The 22,018-nt window shown below is 34.4% G+C and overlaps 1 protein-coding gene across 15 annotated transcripts in view; it reads right to left on the bottom strand.

Annotated features, from left to right (window-relative positions):
- Positions 1–22,018, bottom strand: part of NCOA1 (nuclear receptor coactivator 1) — a 279,449-nt gene that overhangs the window by 106,902 nt on the left and 150,529 nt on the right. For all 15 annotated transcript variants that reach the window (XM_047446155.1, NM_001362950.1, NM_003743.5 and 12 more), the window contains 2 exons: positions 19,679–19,835; positions 5,035–5,140 (listed from right to left, as the gene is read on the bottom strand). In XM_047446155.1, coding sequence (XP_047302111.1) covers positions 5,035–5,123 — 89 coding nt within the window. In that variant the 5' untranslated portion in view covers positions 5,124–5,140; positions 19,679–19,835. The remainder of the gene's footprint in view (positions 1–5,034; positions 5,141–19,678; positions 19,836–22,018) is intronic.

Here is a 22,018-nt window from a genome sequence, read left to right as displayed (position 1 = left end):
ATGAACTGGCAAGGTGTCTATAAAATGACTAGAGATTGAGACTAGGAAAAATCACCATGAAATGAAGTAACCAATAAGCAAGGAGATAAAATGAGGGCAGATATGTTCAAAGTCAAAACTGGAGATGGCAAAAAAATTCTACCTTAATGGAAAAGAAGTCTTCCTTTATTACTCCGGGTCAACTATATTTCTCTCTTTACGAATCCCTTTTATTACCATTCATATTGCAGACCTTCTAGCTAATGCTATTCTGAGTTAATTTCTCAGGTGCATGCCTTTTTTCCTTCAACAAACTAGCTAACTCAACAAATACTCCTATACTTATTATATGCCAGATAACCATGTACTACTGTGTCTAGAGGATCCAAGAATAAATTAGATGTAGCTCTCAATTAGTCAGAAAATGAAGAAAACAGGCCATTACAATACTATGCAGCAAGACTAGAATACTATAGAAGTACATCTAGACCTAGAGAACAAGATACATGAACTCAGTGGTAGGGAGAGGCTGGCTTCCTGAAAGAAAAAAACAGCTTTTTCAAAGGTATAAAGTAAGAGTGAAGATACCAAGTTAACGAATCTATAAGTAGTTCAGTATAGCTAAACTATAGATAAGAAACAAAAGGGCAAGAGATGTGGTCCAGATCAGATCACAGGGATCTTGCCATGATAAAATGCATGGTATACTGCTTAAAAGCACAGGTTCAGCTGGATACAGCAGCTCGCATCTGTAATCCCAGAACTTTGGGAGACAGAGGCAGGAGGATTGCTTGAGGCTAGGAGTTCAAGACCAGCCTGGGTAACACAACAAGACCCTGTCTCTAAAAAAAAAAAAAGAAAAAAAAATTAGCCAGGCGTGATGGTGTGCGCCTGTAGTCCTAGTTACTCAGGAGGCTGAGTGGGGAGGATTGCTTGAGCCCAAGAGTTGGAGGCTGCAGTGAGTTATGACTGTGCTGCTCCACTCCAGCCTGGGCAATAGAATGAGATCCTGTCCCTTAACAGAAAAAAAAAAAAATGCACAGGCCCAAACTTCCTGTCATTTACTAGCCATGCAACCCTAGGCAAGTCACTTAGTGGAAAGTTAACTTTTCTAAGCTTCGATTTCCTTATCTGTAAAACTAGGATAATGACATTACTTTCCAGGGTTTTATATTAAAAAAGAGAATACATGTAAAATGCTTGGCAGAGTTCCTGGTATATACTTTTAGCTCAGTAAATGTTATCTATTATCATCATTTTGATTATGATTATTTATTTTCAGGGACATGGGGAGCCCAGAAATTTAAGAAGCAGAATGAGTGCCATGACCAGATTTGTAAGCTCCCTAAAGACAGAAACATGTCTCACATTTCACTTGTATCCTTAAAACATCATGCAAATGGTGCTGGCTGAAGAGTACGCACTTAACATGTACTTGAGTTGAATTGGAAATATTCAACAAGCATAAACACAGCTACCTATACTTTTGAGATTAACGTTTTAATCCTCATTCTCCTAGAAGAATGAATGAATGGAGAAGAGGTAACAGGAGGAAGATATGAGATATCTCACTCCACCAAACAGTTGCTGAGAAACTCCTATCCAAGGATCTGTGCACAATGCTGGCAATACCCTGATGTCTAACAGATGCTCTTTATGATTAAAGAATTCAATTCTGTTTGGGGAGACAGAAACATTACAAGGTGGCATTCATACATAAACTCAGTTTCAAAATTATACATTTTTAGTTTACCATATCAAATACATTGTTTTGTTAAAGCTGAAGCCCATATTTCAGTTATAAACCTCAAGGAGATGGTACTTTCAAATATTTTTAAAGCAAATGTGAATATAATTATCTTTAAGATATCTAAAGAAGAGAAAAAAGATATGAAACTTTTATATTTGTAATGATGCTATATACACAAAAACATCAGAGCATCTACAGATAAACCATTAAAACACATAAGAAGATTCAGCACAATGGATGGATCTGAAGAATAACCAAGAACGTCTTGTTTCATCACATATCAAGGCAATTATCATAAGAAAGCTCAGAACCAGATCCCTATATATACAGGAACTTGACTTATAATAAAGGTAACGGAATAAAAACAGTCAAGGGTAGTGTCATTACTGATAACTGGGAAAAACAATAAATACAATTAGGTCCCTATATTACACCATGCACAAAAATAAATTTCAGATTAATTAAAACCCTAAACATGTATTAGAAGAAAACATATAAAAATACATTTAAAACCTTAGAGTAGAAGAAAAATTATTAAACAAGACCCTAAAAAGCTTGACACATGAAAACCTATGGCTCTGTATGTCAAGAGACATCATAAATAATGTTAACCAACAGGTTGGGAGAAGATACTTGCATCAGTTATAAACAAGAAAAGGTTAATAACCAGAAAATTTAAAGTAAGTCTTAGAAACAAAAAATAAAAGAACAAACAACCCAGCAGGAACATGGGCAAAAGATACAACCAAGAAATTCATAAAGGAGGAAAATATAAATGAGTAAAAGACCAAAAAAAGGTGATCAGTTTATCTAATCATCATGGAAATGCCCTTTAAACTATAACCCCACACCCATTAGACTGGCAAAGTGTTAACATGAGAAGAGAACAGTGATAGTAAGAATGTGGGAAAAGAGGAATTCTCAATGCCTGTTATTTGAAAAACAATGTGGTACTTACCTAGTGAACATAAAAATTTACCTAGATATTAAAGAAACTCTTTTTTTTTTTTGAGCCGGAGTTTTGCTCTTGTTGCCCAAGCTGGAGTGCAGTGGCACTATTTTGGCTCACTGCAACCTCCACCTCCCGGGTTCAAGTGATTCTCCTGCCTCAGCCTTCTGAATAACTGGGATTACAGATGCCCGGCACCACAACTGGCAATTTTTTTTTTTCTTAAATAGAGATGGGTTTTCACTATGTTGGCCAGGCTGGTCTCAAACTTATGACCTCAGGTGATCCACCTGCCTCGGCCTTCCAAAGTGCTGGGATTACAGGAGTGAACCACTGTACCCAGCCAAAGAAACTTTTATGTATAAAATAGGAGATATGTGTGAGGATATTTGCTGCAGGGCTGGCTGTAACATTGAAAATTTGTAACAGGCTGTTTATCTCTAGGGAATGTATTTGTAGAAAAATATATTTTTCAAAGATGGTATATTCATGTAATGCAATACTAATCAAAAGTTAATGGGACTGAATATATCTATGCATATTTAAACCTCAAAATCCATGTTGAAAAAGTATACTATAGAAAATATATACAGTATTACATAAATTATGTAAATGTAATATTCTATATTGCTCAGATACCTGTGTGTGTATATATATAAAATACACACATAATTATTAAAAATAGATTAAAATACTGCAGACAAATCAATTGTTAATATTGTATTACTTTTAAACAGGATTATGCAAATATGATAACATATTAACAAAATAATAATATGATAAAATATTATCAATTACATTCTGTTGTATGATATAGTGTCTTCGCCTATATTCTTTTATATATTTAAAAAATTTCCCCAAACAAAAAATTAAATGTAAAAGATATTTATTCTTAGCTTTTCCTTTAAGGACTGATTTTATACACAGATAAAACAAGAGCATTAATTTTTGACACACTTCTAGATTGCATCTTGATCTCAACCTTCCTCCCAGCATCTGGACACTTACTTGTGATTATGAGTACTCAGGTTATTGTCTCTCTCTGACAGCTCTCTGAGCTGAGTAAGATAAATAGTCACTTTTCTTTCTCGAGCCTGGAGCCCTGGCATTCTCCTGTTAAAATCCTCCTTTTTTTCCTCCCATGAGAGAAAGCAGCATGTAATCCAAGGACAGAAGAGTCTTCTGTAGCTTTACTCTCTAGATCAGTGATTATCAACTAGAGGTGATTTTGTTTCCCCTGGCCCCAGGGGACATTTGGCAATGTTTGGAGACATTTTTGGTTGTCACAACTAAGATGCTACTGACATTTGGTGTGTAGAAGCAGGGATACTGCTAAACATCCTACAAAATACAGGACAGCTCCCCCACAACAAAAAATTATCTGACACGAAATGTCAATAGTGTGGAGTTTGAAAAACTTTCCTCTAAATCCTAGAAGATGAGTGGAATAAAATCTCCACTCATTCTAGGAAGCTGCTCTCAGGTAGGAAGCTAGCTGCTCTTTTAACCTAATATTAAATGAGCAGCTAGGGTATGTATCTGCAGAAAAACATATTTTTCAAATGTGGTATATTCATGTAATGCAATACTAATCAAAAGTTAATAGGACTGAATATAACTATGCATATTTAAATTTATCTGGCATTTGAGGTTTCTTCTCTATCTGGCATTTGTGAGGGTCTCCTTAGCATTAGGTTCCTTTTAGCCTGTTCAAGGTGGTCATATTCCTTATAACAAACCAAATATTTAACTACACAATCATTTTTTAAAATCCTGATATTTCTTAGCTCCATTAATGCCATAATGTTCTAAGATAGCAATTAAAGGTGTATAATAGATTTATATATTCATTTGACAAATCTTTACTGTGTTCTTACTATATATAAGCCACACACTGTTTTAGGAACTAAGGATACAATGATGAGCAAGAACAAACAAGGTCCTTTACCAAGTGGCAGCTTAGAGTCTAGCGGGGAAGCCAGAAATTCATGAAATAATCACACTAGTAAAAATCTGCAATTATGGATCATGGCTATAAAAACATCTGAGACAGATACATGAATGGAGGAACTTGATCTAACAGTTATGGAAGGAAGAGAAGGCTCTCTTTAAGTATGTAATGACTAAGCTGGCATCTGAAGGATGAGTAGGTGTTAACTAAAGGAAATCAAGAGGAAGCAAGCTGGATTGAGGGAGAAACATGTGCAAAGACCCTGGGGGAAGGAAGACAACATGGTGAGTATGAAAGACTCAAAGAAAGCCACTGAACTTGGAGTAGATTAAACAAAAGCTCTGAAGTGGCAGTGAAAGTAATAAAGCAGCTCTGCCAAAAATAGACTAAGAGGAGTGTTCCTACCTTGATGCCAGTGTGTCACATGGCGATCCTTTCCTCTTATGTGAGTCTGGGTTAGCAGGGTCGGATGAACTGTCCCCGAGGCCACTCATGTTGAAAAACTTCACACCTAAACAGGAAGGACAACAGTAAGAAATCTACCCTTATGACCTTTCCAACCAAATAAAGGTAGGGAAGCTCCCCTCTGTTAGAAAATTTCTAAAAATTGTGCTATATCAATGAATAGATAATTACAGCCATCATAAAAACATGAAGATCTACATAAAAGTACAGAGGTCATCAGATAGTGTTTCTATACTTTCTTTTCTACATCTGTAAAATAAAATTAATAATCCTTTGTGAAATTGTTACAACCAATTAGGATGAAAACATGGTTAGAATAATTAAATAGATACTGAGATTTTTTTTTCCAAAGAGAAAATAATCATTTTCACGTGTAAATGTAGAAGCCGAATGTTGAACTGGAGTCAGAGAAATTATTCTTTGCATTTATTATTTAGAAGCTGCTTTTCAAAAGAATTTAAAATAACTTTCACTCATAAGGTTTGGGATTTTATATTGATAGGAAGATAAATAGTACATACATAATTAAGTTAAAGTGATAAACTAGATTTAGATTTTGAATTGTACGCTGTGAGTTCTATACTCCTAACCTTTTGTTTATGTAGTCAGGCAACAAAGATCAAATGTTTAGTCTATGTTAGGATCTTGGTATAGATCCCAGAGAACACAAAGTCATTCCGCCTAGCACACCAGCCAGGTCTCTCACATGTTGCACCAGTTAGCAACTGCACTTAAAGATCCCTGCTGATCTGTCCCTCATCAACCATTATTCTCCATATAATCCCTAATGAAACTCAGAATCCTATCCTTGGTCTTACAATCATCACTACCTTTTGGATTTTATTAGTGCCAAACAACACACTTCACCATTCTCTTTTACTCCATCTACCCTTATAAAAGGAAAGAAAATTCTTGTTAAATGGGAGAACCTTTAGCTTTTCCTTAAATTCTAAATTATTAAACTACAGCACTGTATGTTAGCAGCCATACTGAAAAACTTTATTATAAAGAATGCTGAGAATCTCTCACATGGCTTTAACTGGTATGTCTGAGTAAACCCTTTTCTCTAGTCTTAAAACTGACTCTGCTTCTAGCCCTTTTCTGAAGATTAATGACTGTCATATTTTTTGGTGTACAAATAATCCCTAACATTTTAATCATGAACTTATTATTTCATGCAACCAAAAAGGCACATTTTCAATTTCTCCATATTAGAAGTGCTATTTATGAAAATTTCCAACTCTTAGGATCATAATTTTACAATTTTTTATTCTTCTCTTTTACTCATTTCTAACTGGCATTCAGATCCTGCTAATTTTTCCTTAACAAGATTGTCTCTTCCTTCTTCATTCCCAGATACAGTTATAATCCTCATTTGGAACCAAATACCTAATTGTAGATTAATGCAAGATCCTTTAATCTTGCTTCTCAATTCTAGTCATTCTCACTTCTAATCTGTCCTATAAACAGCAGCAAAAGCATCCCTGCTTAAGTATCATTTTCAAGGTCTCATTTCCCTGATAAGGAGTCAACTAGATTTGCCTACTGCAACATGGTAGTTAAAAGGATGGGCTTCCGTGCCGGGAAGAAATGAAGAGAAAAGGGAACTCGTATACATTTTTAGTGGGAATGTAAATTAGCGTAGCCATTTGGAAAAGAGCATGGAGGTTCTTCAAAAAACTAAAAATAGAACTACTATATATCTGATACAGCAATCCTACAAATATGCATATGTCCAAAGGAAATGAAATCAGTATGTTGAAGAGATATGTGCACTCCAATATTTATGTGGCAGTATTCACAATAAGCCAACATATGAAATCAACCTAAGTGTCCATCAACAGATATATGGGTAAAGAAAATGTGGTATATATACACAGTGAAATATACCAGACAGCCACAAAAAAGAATGAAATCTTGTTATTCATGGCAACATGGACAAACTTGGAGGGCATCATGCTAGGTGAAATAAGCCAGCCACAGGACAAACACTGCATATTCTCACTCATGTGTAAACTAAAGAAGTTAATCTCATAGAAGTAGATAGCAGAATAGTGGTTACTAGAGGCTGGGAAGGATGTGAGGAGGAGAGGATAGCCAGAGGTTGTTTAACAGATCCAAAAGTATAGCTAAATATGAGAAATTAGTTCTAGTGTTCTATAGCATTGTAGGTAACTATAATTAACAACAATTTATTTTCGAATAGCAAAAAGAGTAGATTTTGAATGTTCCCAATGCGAAGAAATGAAAAATGATTGACGTGAGGGACATGCTAATTACTCTGATTTGATCACACACATTGTACACATGTATCAAAGTATCACACTGTACCCTATAAATATGTTCAATTATTATGCAACAATTAAAAATAATAATAAAAGCAAAAACAAAACAAAACAAAAAACCAGCATGGGCTTTGGGGCCAGAAAAACTTTGTTTAAATCCTGGATTAAACACTACCTGCCTGTCCTTGGGCAAAGTCTCTCTATAAACCTATTTCCTTCTCATGTATTTCTTGTCTCAGTTGGTACACTGCAGTCATTCTAGCCTCTTCTCTCATATCCTGCATGCAAGCAAATGTCAGTTTTTACTTCTTCCTTTTTTTTTTTTTTTTTTTTTGAGACGGAGTCTCGCTCTGTCGCCCAGGCTGGAGTGCAGTGGCGGGATCTCAGCTCACTGCAAGCTCCGCCTCCCGGGTTCACGCCATTCTCCTGCCTCAGCCTCCCGAGTAGCTGGGACTACAGGCACCTGCCACCATGCCCGGCTAATTTTTTGTATTTTTAGTAGAGATGGGGTTTCACCATGTTAGCCAGGATGGTCTCGATCTCCTGACCTAGTGATCTGCCCACCTCGGCCTCCCAAAGTGCTGGGATTACAGGCGTGAGCCACCATGCCCGGCCATTACTTCTTAAATATTTCCAAAATCCATCCTTTCTTCATATTCTCCTTTACCAAGATCTCAATTCAGGTTCTCATTTAACTCTTTTGCTGGACTACTAAAATAGCTTCCCAAATAGCTTCTCCCTGTTTCCGGTCTTGTCCTCCTTAAGTTTATCCTCTGCAGACCCACCAGAGTAGGCTACCAAGTGTATATCTAATCATGTCAATCTCTTACTTAAAACCCTTCACTAAATCCTCAATGCCCATAGGACAACATCCAATCTCCTAAACATAATATATAAAGTTTGCATCTGCTCTCACCTATTGTGTGAGTCTATTATAGGATCTGGTGAATGAATTACTAAATGACAGTCCAATCAAGTGTTCATAGATTATATATGCCATGTATTATGTATTGCATATTACTATATGATCTACATATAAATAAAATTATGTTATATATATCATCTGTATATACAAGCATATAGATTATATATGTTAACTTTAGTTTCAACTTCAAGAAAAGACTTTAAAAATAAAATCCTTGGTAATATGTACTCAGCAAAGGTAAATATTAGACAAAAAGGTAAATACTAGCCAAAAAACTTTAAATTGATCTCAGTGTGGGAGAAGACCAATTTAAATTAGCTGCAAATATTTACTGAGCTCTTACCATATGCCAACCTCTGTTCTACGCACTAGAGATAGAGCAGTGAATAAAATTTACAAAATAACTGTCCTCATTAAGTTTCATTCTATTGTGACAGAGACAACAACACATAAAATTAAAAAGTAAGTTATAATACTTACTCTGGAGAAAAATAAAGCAAAAACAGAGGCTTAGGTATGTGGAAGTGGAAGGGAAGCAAGTAAGGTAATTAGGAAAGGATTCACTGAAAAAGTGAGAGATATGAACAAAGGTAAGAAGGGGGTAAGGGAGAGACAGCCAAGAGAATGATAAATGGAAGAAGGGTGCTTCTGGCAAGGGGAGGTAGAAGGACCTTAAAGCAGGAGCATAACTGCTTTTTGAGAAACATGAAAGAGGTGAGCATGGCTAGAACCTGGGGGATGGGGGAGTAAGTGACGAGTTCAGAGAGATAATAGGAGGCTATACCATGTAAGGTCTTAAAAGTCATTGCAAGGACTAAGTCCCAGTGACTGAGGCAGTCACTGGAGGATTAACAACAGAAGGATGATAGGATTTGACTTTTATTCTAAGACTTCCTCTGTGAAGAGTAAGTACAATCTTTCTCATCTTAGTAATCCGGTATCTGAATGTCCACAATCTTTCTCATCTTAGTAATTTGGTATCTGAATGTCCACTTGTTAACTGGATGTTTTCATTTGGATATCCCACTGTCACCTCAAATTAAACATGTATAAAAAATGATATACTTTTAAATTTCAGATTTCTGTTAATGATAAATGAGATGAACTGCATTACAGATTAATGTCTTAAAAAACAATTTATTAAACCTTCTATGGGGGTGACTGGAGAGGAAGGAACACACAATAAGGAAAATATAGAAGCCTAGTTGGCCTTTGCAAAATTTACAATTTAATATGAACAACCCCAATGCAAGGCAAATATACCAGACTTGCAACAGCCACCACAAAACAAAGTCAAAAGACCAACATGGTTTTGTTACCATCCATTCTAAAACTCAAACACAAAATAAAAATAATCAGTCCATTGTATTACTGGAACTAACAAAATATACACCTTGTTTTCCTGCAGAGATTCACAGAAGCATAAATAAGATTAACCAAAGTTCACATAAGTAAAGAAGTCATATAATTTCATATAAATAAAATGTATTTTAAAATTTAGTAATACAAAAATGAAATAATGCAATAAATTTGTAATAATGAAGCATCAATTCTAAACTTTTCTACAAAAGTAGAAACAAAAGAGAGAAGAAAATGCTGAACAAGGAAGTTGAAAGACATGACTTTAGAATTTGCCCAATTCAAAAGAAAAGAGTTGGCTAACGCTTACTTCATGTTCAGGGGCCATTTTTTGTTTCCTTAGCTGCTCATCTTTTCGGCCTCCAATGAAATTAGGTTATGTCCATCTAAGAATTTATCCATCTGAAATTCTACTTGTTCTCAAAATAATCCTGGGCCTATGTTTTTTTATTACAATGTGCTATAAGTTACAATTATTTTGTCTCCCTTTTGGGATTGTGAACTCAAAGCCAGTTATTAGATCTTTTTATTGTATATCCAATATCTAACACAATACCTAAAGGATAGAGAAACTAAATAAATAGGTGATGAATTAAAAACAATTAACCTATCTTACTAATACAACATTTAAGATTTCTAAAACAAAGATATTTAATTTGTATGGTTAAATATTTTCTGAAATATTTTTAAAATCTTTGAAATTATTTCTTATAATTGAGAAACATGAAATTTCTTAAAATCCTTATTGTCTTTCAATGGGAAAAAAACAGCAAACTGCCTTCTTGGTCTAGAAATTAGGGAATATTCTAATTTTGAAAAAGTAAAGATCTATTATTTTGTAAAAAAACAACCCGTGATATTTCACAGTACTACAAACCCAAGCCATGCTGCAGTTACATGATCTGAATAATACAATCTCACAGATTGAATAATTTTGAGTAATAAATACCTCTGGATCTAAAGCAAGATTCCCATATGTACTACCCTTAGACTACTAGCTGGAGATTCACAACTGCTATATCTGAGATTCTGGGGCTAGGGAGAGCAAACAACAAACAACAGCAGCCAGACAGGCTGGCCTACTGAAATAAGAGCCAAGAGCTGAAGAGCTATGAGACAGTCACCCATAATTTGCTGATAGTATGATTCTGGTATTAACTGCTTCCTGTTTACAAAACACAATAAACAAGGCAATGTAAAACTTCTCATGAGGAAAAACTATTACAGTTGTATTTATGTGAAATGGCTTTGTATTTCGCAGTCAGGGTACTTAAATAAGAATCATTAAGAAAATAAATGCTGGTTTCAGGAAACCAATTTGCATATCACTATTTAAAAAGAGGTAAGGTTTCTAAGTAAAAGTACCCTGTTGATTTAAAAAGAGTTGCTAAATTATACCCAATCTTATGCAATCTCTAGAGAGTAGTTTTAGGAACTAGAAACTACATTTATCTCTGTTCAAATGTACCAGACTAAACCAAACAGGTGAAGGCTAAAGAAATAGAACTGTGCCTTATAATTCAGTTGAATTTAAATTTCTACATAAGAAATCTGTCATTCATTTCTTGGATTTAGCTGAGAACTGCATAATTTTAAAAAGTCCCTGCCAATTAGTTAATAAACATTTCTAATAATATATTTAAAAATGCTTAGCAGGCAGTTAGCACGAAGAAGCATTTATATATAGTGAGAAGGATACTCTGAGAGCTAAATATCCCCAAGTTAATAGTTGTATGAAGGGCATCACACAGGAAAAACATGATAAATAGAGATCTGAACTAGGTAATTTCCAAAAAAATGTTTCTCAAACTGGAGTCCTAAGACACGTAAGGGTCTTTGAAACAAGTTTTCATTTTAGCTGTTCATTTCAATGACAACCAAAATCTTTCTCATGTGGTAAGGAAGGATAGGGACTTCAGGATTTTCACTGCCTTTTTAATAATTGAATAATATTCTATTGTTTGGAGATGCCATATTTTGTTTATCCATTCACCAGTGGATGGATATTTAGGTAGTTTTCACTTTTTGAATATTATCAGTAATGCTGCTGTGAACATTTATGTACAAGTTTTTATGTGGCCATGTTTTTAATTCTCTTGAGTATTTAACTAGGAGTGGAACTGTTAGGTTATACAGTAACTCTTTAACTTTTTGAGGAATTATCAAAGCCAGTTTTCCACAGTAACTACACCATTTAAAATTCCCACCAGTAATGTACAAGGGTTCCAGTTTTCCACAACCTCACCAAATAAAGAGTTATTTCCTGTCTTTAAAAAATTACAGCCATCCTTGAGGGTGTGAAATGGTATCTCATGGTTTTGATTTCTATTTCCCTAATCACTAATGACACCAAGCATCTTTTCTTGCACTCATTGGCCATTTGTATGTCTTATTTGGAGATGTGTCTATTCAGCTCCTTTGCCTATTTTTTAAAAACTAAATTTTACTGTGTATATTTATGATTTACAACATGATGTCATGAGATGAGGATATGTAGTAAAATGGTTATTATATATATTATGATGGTTATATTATTATTGTAAATGAACAAATGAACATATCCATCATCTCCCATAGTTACCCATTTTTCCCCACTATGGCAATGTTTTATTCTCTATCTCTGTATATTTGCCTTTGTTTTTAAAGATGCCTCATGTAAATGAGATTATGCAATATTCTTCTTTCTGTGTCTGACTTATTTCACTTAGCAAAATGTCCTCCAGGCTCACCTATGTTGTGGCAAATGGCAGGATCTCCTCCTTTTTAATGGCTGAATAATATTCCATTGCATATATATATTACAACTTCTTTATCTATTTGTCCACTGAGCAACCCCTAGGTTGTTTCCATGTCTCAGCTATTGTGAATAATGCTGCAATGAACATGGGAGTGCAGACAGCTTTATGAGCTGATTTCATCTCTTTTGGGTATATACCCAGAAAAGGTATTGCTGGGTCATATGTTAATTCTGAGTCATATGTTAATTTCCTTAGGAGTATCTATACTGTTTTTCATAATGGCTGCTCCATTCTAAGTTCCCATCAAAAGGGTACATGGGTTCCCTTTTCTCAACACCTTTGCCAATACTTGTTATCTTTTGTCTTTTTGATACAGGTTGAGCATCCCAAATCTAAAAATCCCAAACCTAAAATGATCCAAAATCCAAAAATTTTTGAATGCCAACATAACACTCAAAGGAAATGCTCATTGGAGCATTCTGCATTTCAGATTTTCGATGCTCAACTGGTAAGTATAATGCAAATATTCTAAAATCCATAAAAATCCAAAATATCAAACAATCCTGGTCCCCCAAACATTTTTGATAAGGGATACTCAACTTGTAACAGCTATCCTAATAGCTGGTAGATGTGAGGTGATAAAGTGGCTTTTACTTACATTTCCTTGATCATTTTATGATGTTGAGCAACTTTCATATACTTGTTGGCCATTTTTATGTCATCCTTAAAGAAATATCTTTTCAGGTCCTTTGCCTGATCTTTATCTGGGTTATATGTTTTCTTGCTATTGAGTTGTAGGATTTTGGGTTGGGTTTAACTTGTCTTTTTATTGAGTCATAAGAGTGCTTTACATTCGGGGTATTAGACCCCTATCAGATATATGACTTACAGATGATTTTCTCCAATTCTGTGGTTTCTCTTTTCATTTTCTTTACAGTATTCTTTAATGAACAAAAGTTTTTAATTTTAATGAAGTCCAACTTATCTACTTTTTCTTCTTTAATAGGTCCAATGTCTGGCCCCCTTAGGGACAGATACTACTGATTGTTATTTTTCCTGTATATGGGCCAAATATTTTTGTTTCTTTGCATGCCTCCTAATTTTTGTTGAATACTAGATATTTTGAAGCTAATTGAATGGGTAGGGATTTCCTGAAATCCCTGGAAACAAAAGTTCTCTCAAAATCCACAATGCCAGGGCCCAAATTGAGATGGTAGTTATCCTTGGCCCAGAGAAGAGACCCTGCTCCCCTAAGCTTCTACCATAAATCACTGCCAACGTTCTTAACCATTATGGCCAAGAATAAAAAGCAAAATCAAATAAATGGATTCAAAGCAATCAATGAATTCTTAAAAATCAAAACACCATTTAATCTTATTTCATATTCTACTATAAAATACTAGATTTTTCTTATAGTGCTTTTTGTAAAAGAGAATCCTGTGCAGTCTTTTAAATTTATTATGCTAATAATAAAGACATTATCAAGGATTTGGTAACTTGCCCTCTAAATGTATCTTAATGTTTGAAACAATATATTTAATACGTCTGTGTTTACCACTAAAAGCTTATTCCACAGACTAAGCGACAATGCTTTTTTTCTTTGCATTAATTTTTCTAAATACAAATAAGTTTGAAAAAAGAAAAGTTTATTTTGTTTTCTATTAACAAATACATAGAAAAAGGAAAACCAAATTAGTTTTAAAACCTAATATTTTCCTCATATTGGCTTCATTTAAAATTTAATTTTAAGATGAAGAATAAACATTTGCCTTATTAAAATATTCCTAGTATATTCACGACTGAGGGAAAATAGCATTGTATCACATATTTGTGGCAGCTATCTTATTAGAACAAATTAGCAAAATAACTCAACATTTCCTTATGAAACTATGAATCCAGTTATCTTAAGAGTGACATAGAGTTATGCAGGTATACTGCACATGTCTTCCAAAATCCACTTTAATTTGTGTTGGTATTTCTTGAGGAAAAATCAGTCGTCCTAACTATAGCTATCTTCAGCTGGTATAAACAAGAATATAAGTATTTAATATTTACTTGCAGGCGTACAAAAGAGTTTTATAAGAGTTTAGCAGAAGCAGCCTTAAAAAAGTAAATGATCATTTTGCTTTGTCATTTGCACAGACAAAACTGAGTGATAAAAATTTCAGTGTTGCTGGGTGCAGTAACATGTGTCTATAATCCCAACTACTCAGGAGTCTGAGGTGGGAGAATTGTTTGAGCCAGGAATTCAAGTGTGGTCTTGGCTACACAGACAGACTATGTCTCTTTTTAAAAAAATAAAATAAATAAATAAAAATTAAAAAAAATTTTAAATGTCTGCCTCTTTTTACTAACCTCTTTCAGAGATTCAGATAATAGTGGGCAGAAAAACAGCTAGAAGCCAGAACCAAAAGAAAATGAAGATCTGCATTAGATACAGATAATCCACAAATGATTATCCAAAATCAAATAACTACATTTACACAAAAAATTACTTCAATATCTAAAATAAAGAATTCAGTCCCAGATCAGAAGCTATTCAATTTTGATCAACTATTTTAGAAACCCATTTCAGAATACAGTATAGTTAAATATATATATCTACACCAATAAAAGAAAAATAAATACACTAAAATCTGTTCTTTAATGGTATATGGTAGAAGAAGTACCAAAGTCATAGAGCCAAATGAGTCAAAATAATTGACCAAAATAATGGAATTGTATTTTGAGGGTGTTATAAAATGATTAAGTCAGACAAACCTCCGGTTAACTTCAGGGTCACCCTCCCAACCTGAAAGGGAAAGGGCACAGATAAAATCACAATATGAGGGCTGGGTGCAGTTGCTCACGCCTGTAATCCCAGCGCTTCAGGAGGCCAAGGCGGGTGGATCATGAGGTCAGGAGTTCGAGATCAGCCTGGCCAACATGGTGAAACTCCGTCTCTACTAAAAATACAAAAATTAGCCAGGTGTGGTGGCGGATGCCTGTAATCCCAGCTACTTGGAAGGCTGAGGAAGAGAACTGCTTGAACCCGGGAGGCGGAGGATGCAGTGAGCTGAGACTGCATCACTGCACTCCAGCCTGGGCGACACAGTGAGACACCGTCTCAAAAAAAAAAAATCACAATATGAGCCAATCTTCACTGACCACATTTATAGAAAAGATATGCATTTTGTAAAGTCCAGCTTAAAACCTAAGTCATCTTACTTGATTCATTTATATTCGGCAATATTTTATTGATATCCACTGAAAAATGAAAAAAAAAATCCCAAGCATTTCATGTAAATGGCTGGTTAAATAGCATCAATATCCTCTTAATGCTAACACTAAATGTGGCTAGCTATATTCCTTCTGCTGCAACGACCAGCTAAAGACTAACTTGGAACAAGTGAAACTCAAATTCCATTTTCCGGGGTTCTCAATAGAATAATAATTATGATAACAAACAGAATAATAACAATAAAAAGAATGCTCACACATTTTAAACTGGAGATGCAGACTTTTAAATTTTTAGAATAAGGACCCCTGCAATTGTCACCCAGTACAGTACTTCTCAAATATTTCGACTATAGGCCACTTCAGTGGTATAAGCATGCTTACCCTTCCAGTTGCCACTTTCACATTATAAAGTCAATAGTAACAAATAATTTGAGAGAAACAAAATAATAAAAAGTTTACAAGTTAAAATGTAAGCCCATTAATATGCATCTAAAGGATATGACATTATATATATATTGAGCATGTAATATATGTTTTATATGCATTAATTCACTTATTTCTCACAACTGCCCTATGAAGTATACATTATTATTTCCATTTTGACAGTTTTATCATACTAATAAATTATGCTCTGATGATGATGATAATGAATACTAACACTTATGTAAGATTTACCATGTGCCTATCACTGTTCTAAGCACCTAACCTATGTTAATTAATTCCCTCATAAACCTTACTAACTCATTTACTCATAAAACATCAGGTAGGTAATATTATAATCCATGTTAGTGACGAGAAAACTGAGGCATGGACAAGTTACTTAATCTGCTCAACAACTTAAGCGGCAGAGGAAGAAATCGGTCTTAGGTAATCTGGTTCCAGAATTTGCATACGCTTTAAGTTATATCACTAACCTACAGTCACATAACTAATAAATAGAAAACCCATCAATATAGCCCCAATCTTTTGCTTTGGCCTCCACATCAAAATATTTCCTTAATATATCCAGTAAGAGCCTTACAGAAAAGGTGACATTAAAATATACCACATCTAAAAACTAGGTAGTATACAAGGTACTCAAACATATAAACAAAGAATCTTTTCTATCCTTAGTCCAAACATCACATGAAAATAAAGTTATTCATATAGCGAATCGTGACTTACCTTCTATCATACGTTATAATATAAAACCAATTATTTCTTATAAGATGTCAAGGACTTTAAAATAAAATGCACTGTTCAATCAAAATCAAAAGTTCTGCTTTTGCAAACCCTAATTTTTGTTCCAAAGTTTATAAATCTTGGGTCCTACAATTTGTGTGTGTGTGTATGTGTGTATAATTCCTTTCAATAACACCTAAATTATCTTAGTGATTCTAGTTTCTAGATTTCCTTTGTTCCAACAGACTTTATCCTGAAAACTCTTTGTAGACTTTGTTATTTAAGATAACCTTTTCATTAAAAAAAAAAAAAAGAAAGAAGAAAAAAGAAAAATCCATGAATCTCCATCCCCTATCACAGCCTTTTTAGGAAGGAAATAGGTGGAAACAGACAATCCTGAAATGAGGACCATTGTACAAAATAGCTGACCTGTACTCTTCTCCAATGTCACTATCATGGAAGGCCCTACTATGAAAAACAAAGAAAAGCTAATAAACTATTCCAGGTTAAAGGAAACCAAACAAATGTGACAACTATGCAATCTATGATTGTGAATCAGACAAATGGTAAAATTTTAATGTGAACTATATATTAGATAACAGCAATAAAAAATGTTGTTTCCTGAATTGATTATTATATTGTGGTTAAGTAGGAAATATTTTAGAGTGAAGGATCATGATTGTCTACCACTTTTTCTCAAATGGTTCATCATTGTCATCGTAATGGTAGAGGGGGAAGGGGAAAAGGAAAAGTAAATACAGAGAGAGATAAAGCAAATTCCATAAAATGTTTATAATTGGTGAAACTGGGCAATGGGCATGCAGGTGTTCAGTCTAGCAATTTTGTAACTATTTGGTACATTTGAAATTGTTTTTAATGTTAAGAAGAAATAGAAAAGATGAAAAATGTCATTATAATGAGGAAAATGACTTTCTTAGAGTCACTCACTGAACAATGAGGAAAGACAGACACCAAGCTAATGTTCAGTCACTGCATTATTCTATCAATTTTCTCCTCCTTTCTCTTTCATAAAGTCGAGGTACTAACATTACTTTCCTGAAAACTCTTAAAGAGATGGCTCTCCTACTTAATTAAAATTTCTCTTTATTATAATACATCCTACTCAGCAAAACTTTCTTTTTTAATCAGAATACTTAATTCATTTATTGCTCCTTAGGGAGAACCAACAGTCCTGATTGGAAACAACAGAAAACATAAATTAATACAGGTTGAGCATCCCAAGTCCAAAATCCGATATGCTCCACAATCTGATGATACTCAAAGGAAATGCTCACGGGAGCATATAGGATTTCAGATTTCGGATGCTCAGCTGATAAGTATACTGCAAATATTTTAAAATCCAAAATATGGAACACTTCTAGTCCCAAGCATTTCAGATATGGGGCACTCAACGTGTAAATACAAATGTATCATCAGTTAATAAAAGCCAGAAACAAAGAGTTGTGTTTGCTCTAGCAACTGATGAAATTTTTTTTTTTTTTTTTTTTTCTGAGAGGAGTCTCGCTCTGTCACCCAGGTTGGAGTGCAGTGGCTCGATCTCTGCTCACTGCAAGCTCCGCCTCCCAGGTTCACGCCATTCGCCATTCTCCTGCCTCAGCCTCCCGAGTAGCTAGGACTACAGGCGCCCACCACCACGCCTGGCTAATTTTTTTTTTTTTTTTTTGTATTTTTAGTAGAGACGGGGTTTCACCTTGTTAGCCAGGATGGTCTCAATCTCCTGACCTCATAATTCACCCGTCTCAGCATCCCAAAGTGCTGGGATTACAGGCGTGAGCCACAGCACCTGGCCAAAACTGATGCAATTTTAAAGAGGCAGAGATAGTAAGATTAGATGAATATCTTCTTAAATAATTTTGTACCTCCAGTCCTTGCATTAAAGCTCTCTGCCAACTGAGAGTTTTGCCTCCAACTTCCAAACTCATTGTTAATTCCAAACACAGGCATTGTTGGCCAACTAAATTTTACTGCCTTTAACTTCAGTGATCTATAAAACCCCACACTCTAGGTTGACAGGTATCACTCTCCATAGTGACAACTGTCGCCTCCTTTAAAAGTGAATGGGCGTGCAGCTGGGACACATGGATGAAGAGGATTTCTGGGGTGGTGGTATTGTTCTACTTCTTAACCCAGGCGATGTTTACACAAATATGTTCAGTACATAATAAATAAAAAGTTATATGCTTATAATTTTTTATTTTTATCTATGTATAATTCAATTACAAGTCTATTAATTAACAAATTTTCTCCTGGAAGTTTTCCCTTACTGATTTATCAGTTTCTGATCACTCTTCAACTCTTTTATCTACTGTCTTGGCTTGGTACATGTTTATTTTTCTACTGCTCCCATTAGTATGTTCACGGATATACTGGTTCTATTCAGCTAGCTCACAAACTCAAACAGCAACAATGTAAAAATGCCCATATGGACACTACATACACATAAATTACATAGGTATATATTATATGGGTATACCTACAATTACCTATATATTATACAGGTATACCTATAATTATATAGGTATATATTATGTAATTTTATGCATATATGTATAAAATTAACTGGATATATGTTAGAAATATATGAAGCAAATCTGGAGATGGTTTACTACAGTTTCTGCTGCCATTTTCAATTCAGTAAGGACTTTGAGGGTCTCATCATAAGTGATTTCGACATACACTAAAATAGCTTCATAAAGTGTATCCTAGAACTTTCCTATCATTTTCACTTAGGAATGTGAGCACCTGTTTTACACTAACCTTGAAGCAACCCAGATCAAACACATATTTCCATAAAAGATAACAGTCAACAGGTAATCATGTTCCTTCCATACTTTTGCAGAGACAAAGCTCTTTAAAAATAGAACTACAATTCCTACCTGGGAGACTTCTTTGTTCATAATGAATCCTCAAAACAGATATGGTCAAATCTTGAGTTCCAGAGGGTAGCTTCCCGGGGAATGGGATAATGATGTTTTCCAGAGATGGCTCTAGTCTCTTCACTCTCACCTCATTTAAGGCCAATTATATAAACAACTAGAATAAAAAGACAAAAATAAAAGCAGAAGGGACGTTAGATTGCCATTTTATTCTCCAATAAATAATAAAGGTCAGATATGCTAGAAAAAGAAAAAAAAATGCAACTTTTAGAGTGAAATGGAAAAATATTTCCAAAAGACAATGAATAAAGATCTCATTTTACAGCTTAAGTCCTTTCTGGTGATTAAGTATATACTCCTATTTGAGAATGCTGCTTAGGTAATACATAATTGCATCTATCTGTAAACTTCTGAAAGACTCATTTACATGTCTTTTAAAAGTTGTTTCTGGCTGCATTTGTATATTTATCCTTCTTCCTACTTATAAATTCTGATTTTTTTCATGTTTTCAGTTATCACATAATTATTTACTTATGTAATACTCCTATAATATTTTGTCTTCAAATTTCTAACTGAAAAAGTTTATAAACATTTTATGTTTGTAAAACTTCAAAAAGATGTTAGTTGAGCTCTGGTTCTAGTAATGATGAACTACCTTATATCGAACTAATTTGCCCACAGTTAACAGTTATAAACTCTGGACAAAATATAAAAAACAACTGTTTGAAGAAATTGGAAAGTGACCAAGGCAGACAGAAATTGTAGGGGTTCTGATCATTGAAAGAAAGGAATTACACTGGGTGAGATACACACTTATGAGACTCTCCTGGAAGGGAACTCGGAACTCTTCCCAGTACTCCCACTTAAGTGCAGAGAGGCTAGGTTTAAAGGAGAAAACCACAGTCTTATTGGCTTGAGGCATTAAAGAATGTAGATCAGAGCTAAAAGAAAGCTGGAAATTGAGTAGACTAGATTACAGACCTTACTTGAATTTTGCCAGTTTTTGCATGCACTCATTTTTTGTATGTCTTTTTTACAATTCTATGACATTTTAGCACATGTACAGATACATATAACTACACCACAATTGAGATTCACTGCTTCATCACCACAGCTGAATTGTTTCATGCTGTTTATAATCACATCCACCTTCCCCTTTCCTTAACTCTTGACAACTGCAATCTGTTCCCTATTTCTATAATTTTTGTCACTTTGAGAATACTACATAAATTGAATCATATAGCATGGAATCTTTTCAAGTTGGCTTTTTTCACTCAGCATAATGCCCTTGAGATCCATCCAGTTTGGTGCACGTATCAATAGTTCATTCCTTTTTATTGCTCCATGGTACAGTTGTGCCACAGTTTTTTTCACCATTTGTCCTTTAAAGTGCATTTGGGTTGTGTTTAGTTTTCGGCTATTACAAATAAAAGCTGCTATGAATATTTCTGTACAGGCTTTTGTAAAAGCATTTGTTTTCATTTCAATGCCCAGGACTGTAATTGCTGAGTTGTATAGTTAAGTGTATGTTTACCAGCCAGTAATTTAGCTGTCTACTAGAAGATAAATCAATACTCTTCAAAAAGAGATAACAATCCACAATGTCATCCACAATATCCAGTACACAATAAAAAATTACTAAACATGCAAAGAAGGTAGAAAATGTAACTCCAGATCAGGAGAAAAGGTAGTCAACAGTAACACACCACAAGATGATTTAGGTGTTGGAAACACCTAACAAAGATGTGAAAGTAGCTATTATAAATATGTTTAAAGATTTTAAAAAATATATATATATATATATTTATATACATATAATGGGTAAACACATGAGAAATACTGGCAGCAAATGGAAACTGAGAAAGAAATAAATGGAAATTCAAGAGCTAGATCCTTCAATAGCAAATTCTAAGATTCACTGGCCAGACTTAACAACAGATTTGTGACAGCAGAAAAACAAGTCAGTGAACTTGAAATGAAAATAATACCCAGTCTGAAGAAGAAAGAGAAAAGAAACCACACAACCACACATACCCCTACTATAATCTGGGGAAAACACATACACACACACATACGCACGCGCGCACACACACACACACACACACACACACACACGCCCTCTGTAATCTGCTGGCAATACCAAGCATGTAATTGATGAGAGGCGAAAGACACTGGGGCAGAAATAGTATTATGGGGAAATAATGATAGAAAATTCCCAAAATTTGGTGAAAAATAAACTGTCAGATCCAGTGTCTCAATAAATCCCACTCAGAATAAATATAGAGAAACCAACTCTGGCAAAGTCCAGTCAAACCGCTAAAAAAAAATTAAGACAAAATT

This window comes from Homo sapiens, chromosome 2 (genome assembly GCF_000001405.40).
Source record: "Homo sapiens chromosome 2, GRCh38.p14 Primary Assembly".
NCBI lineage: Eukaryota > Metazoa > Chordata > Mammalia > Primates > Hominidae > Homo > Homo sapiens.
The sequence above is the reverse complement of the archived record's forward strand: the minus strand, read 5'-3'. Positions and strand labels throughout refer to the sequence as shown.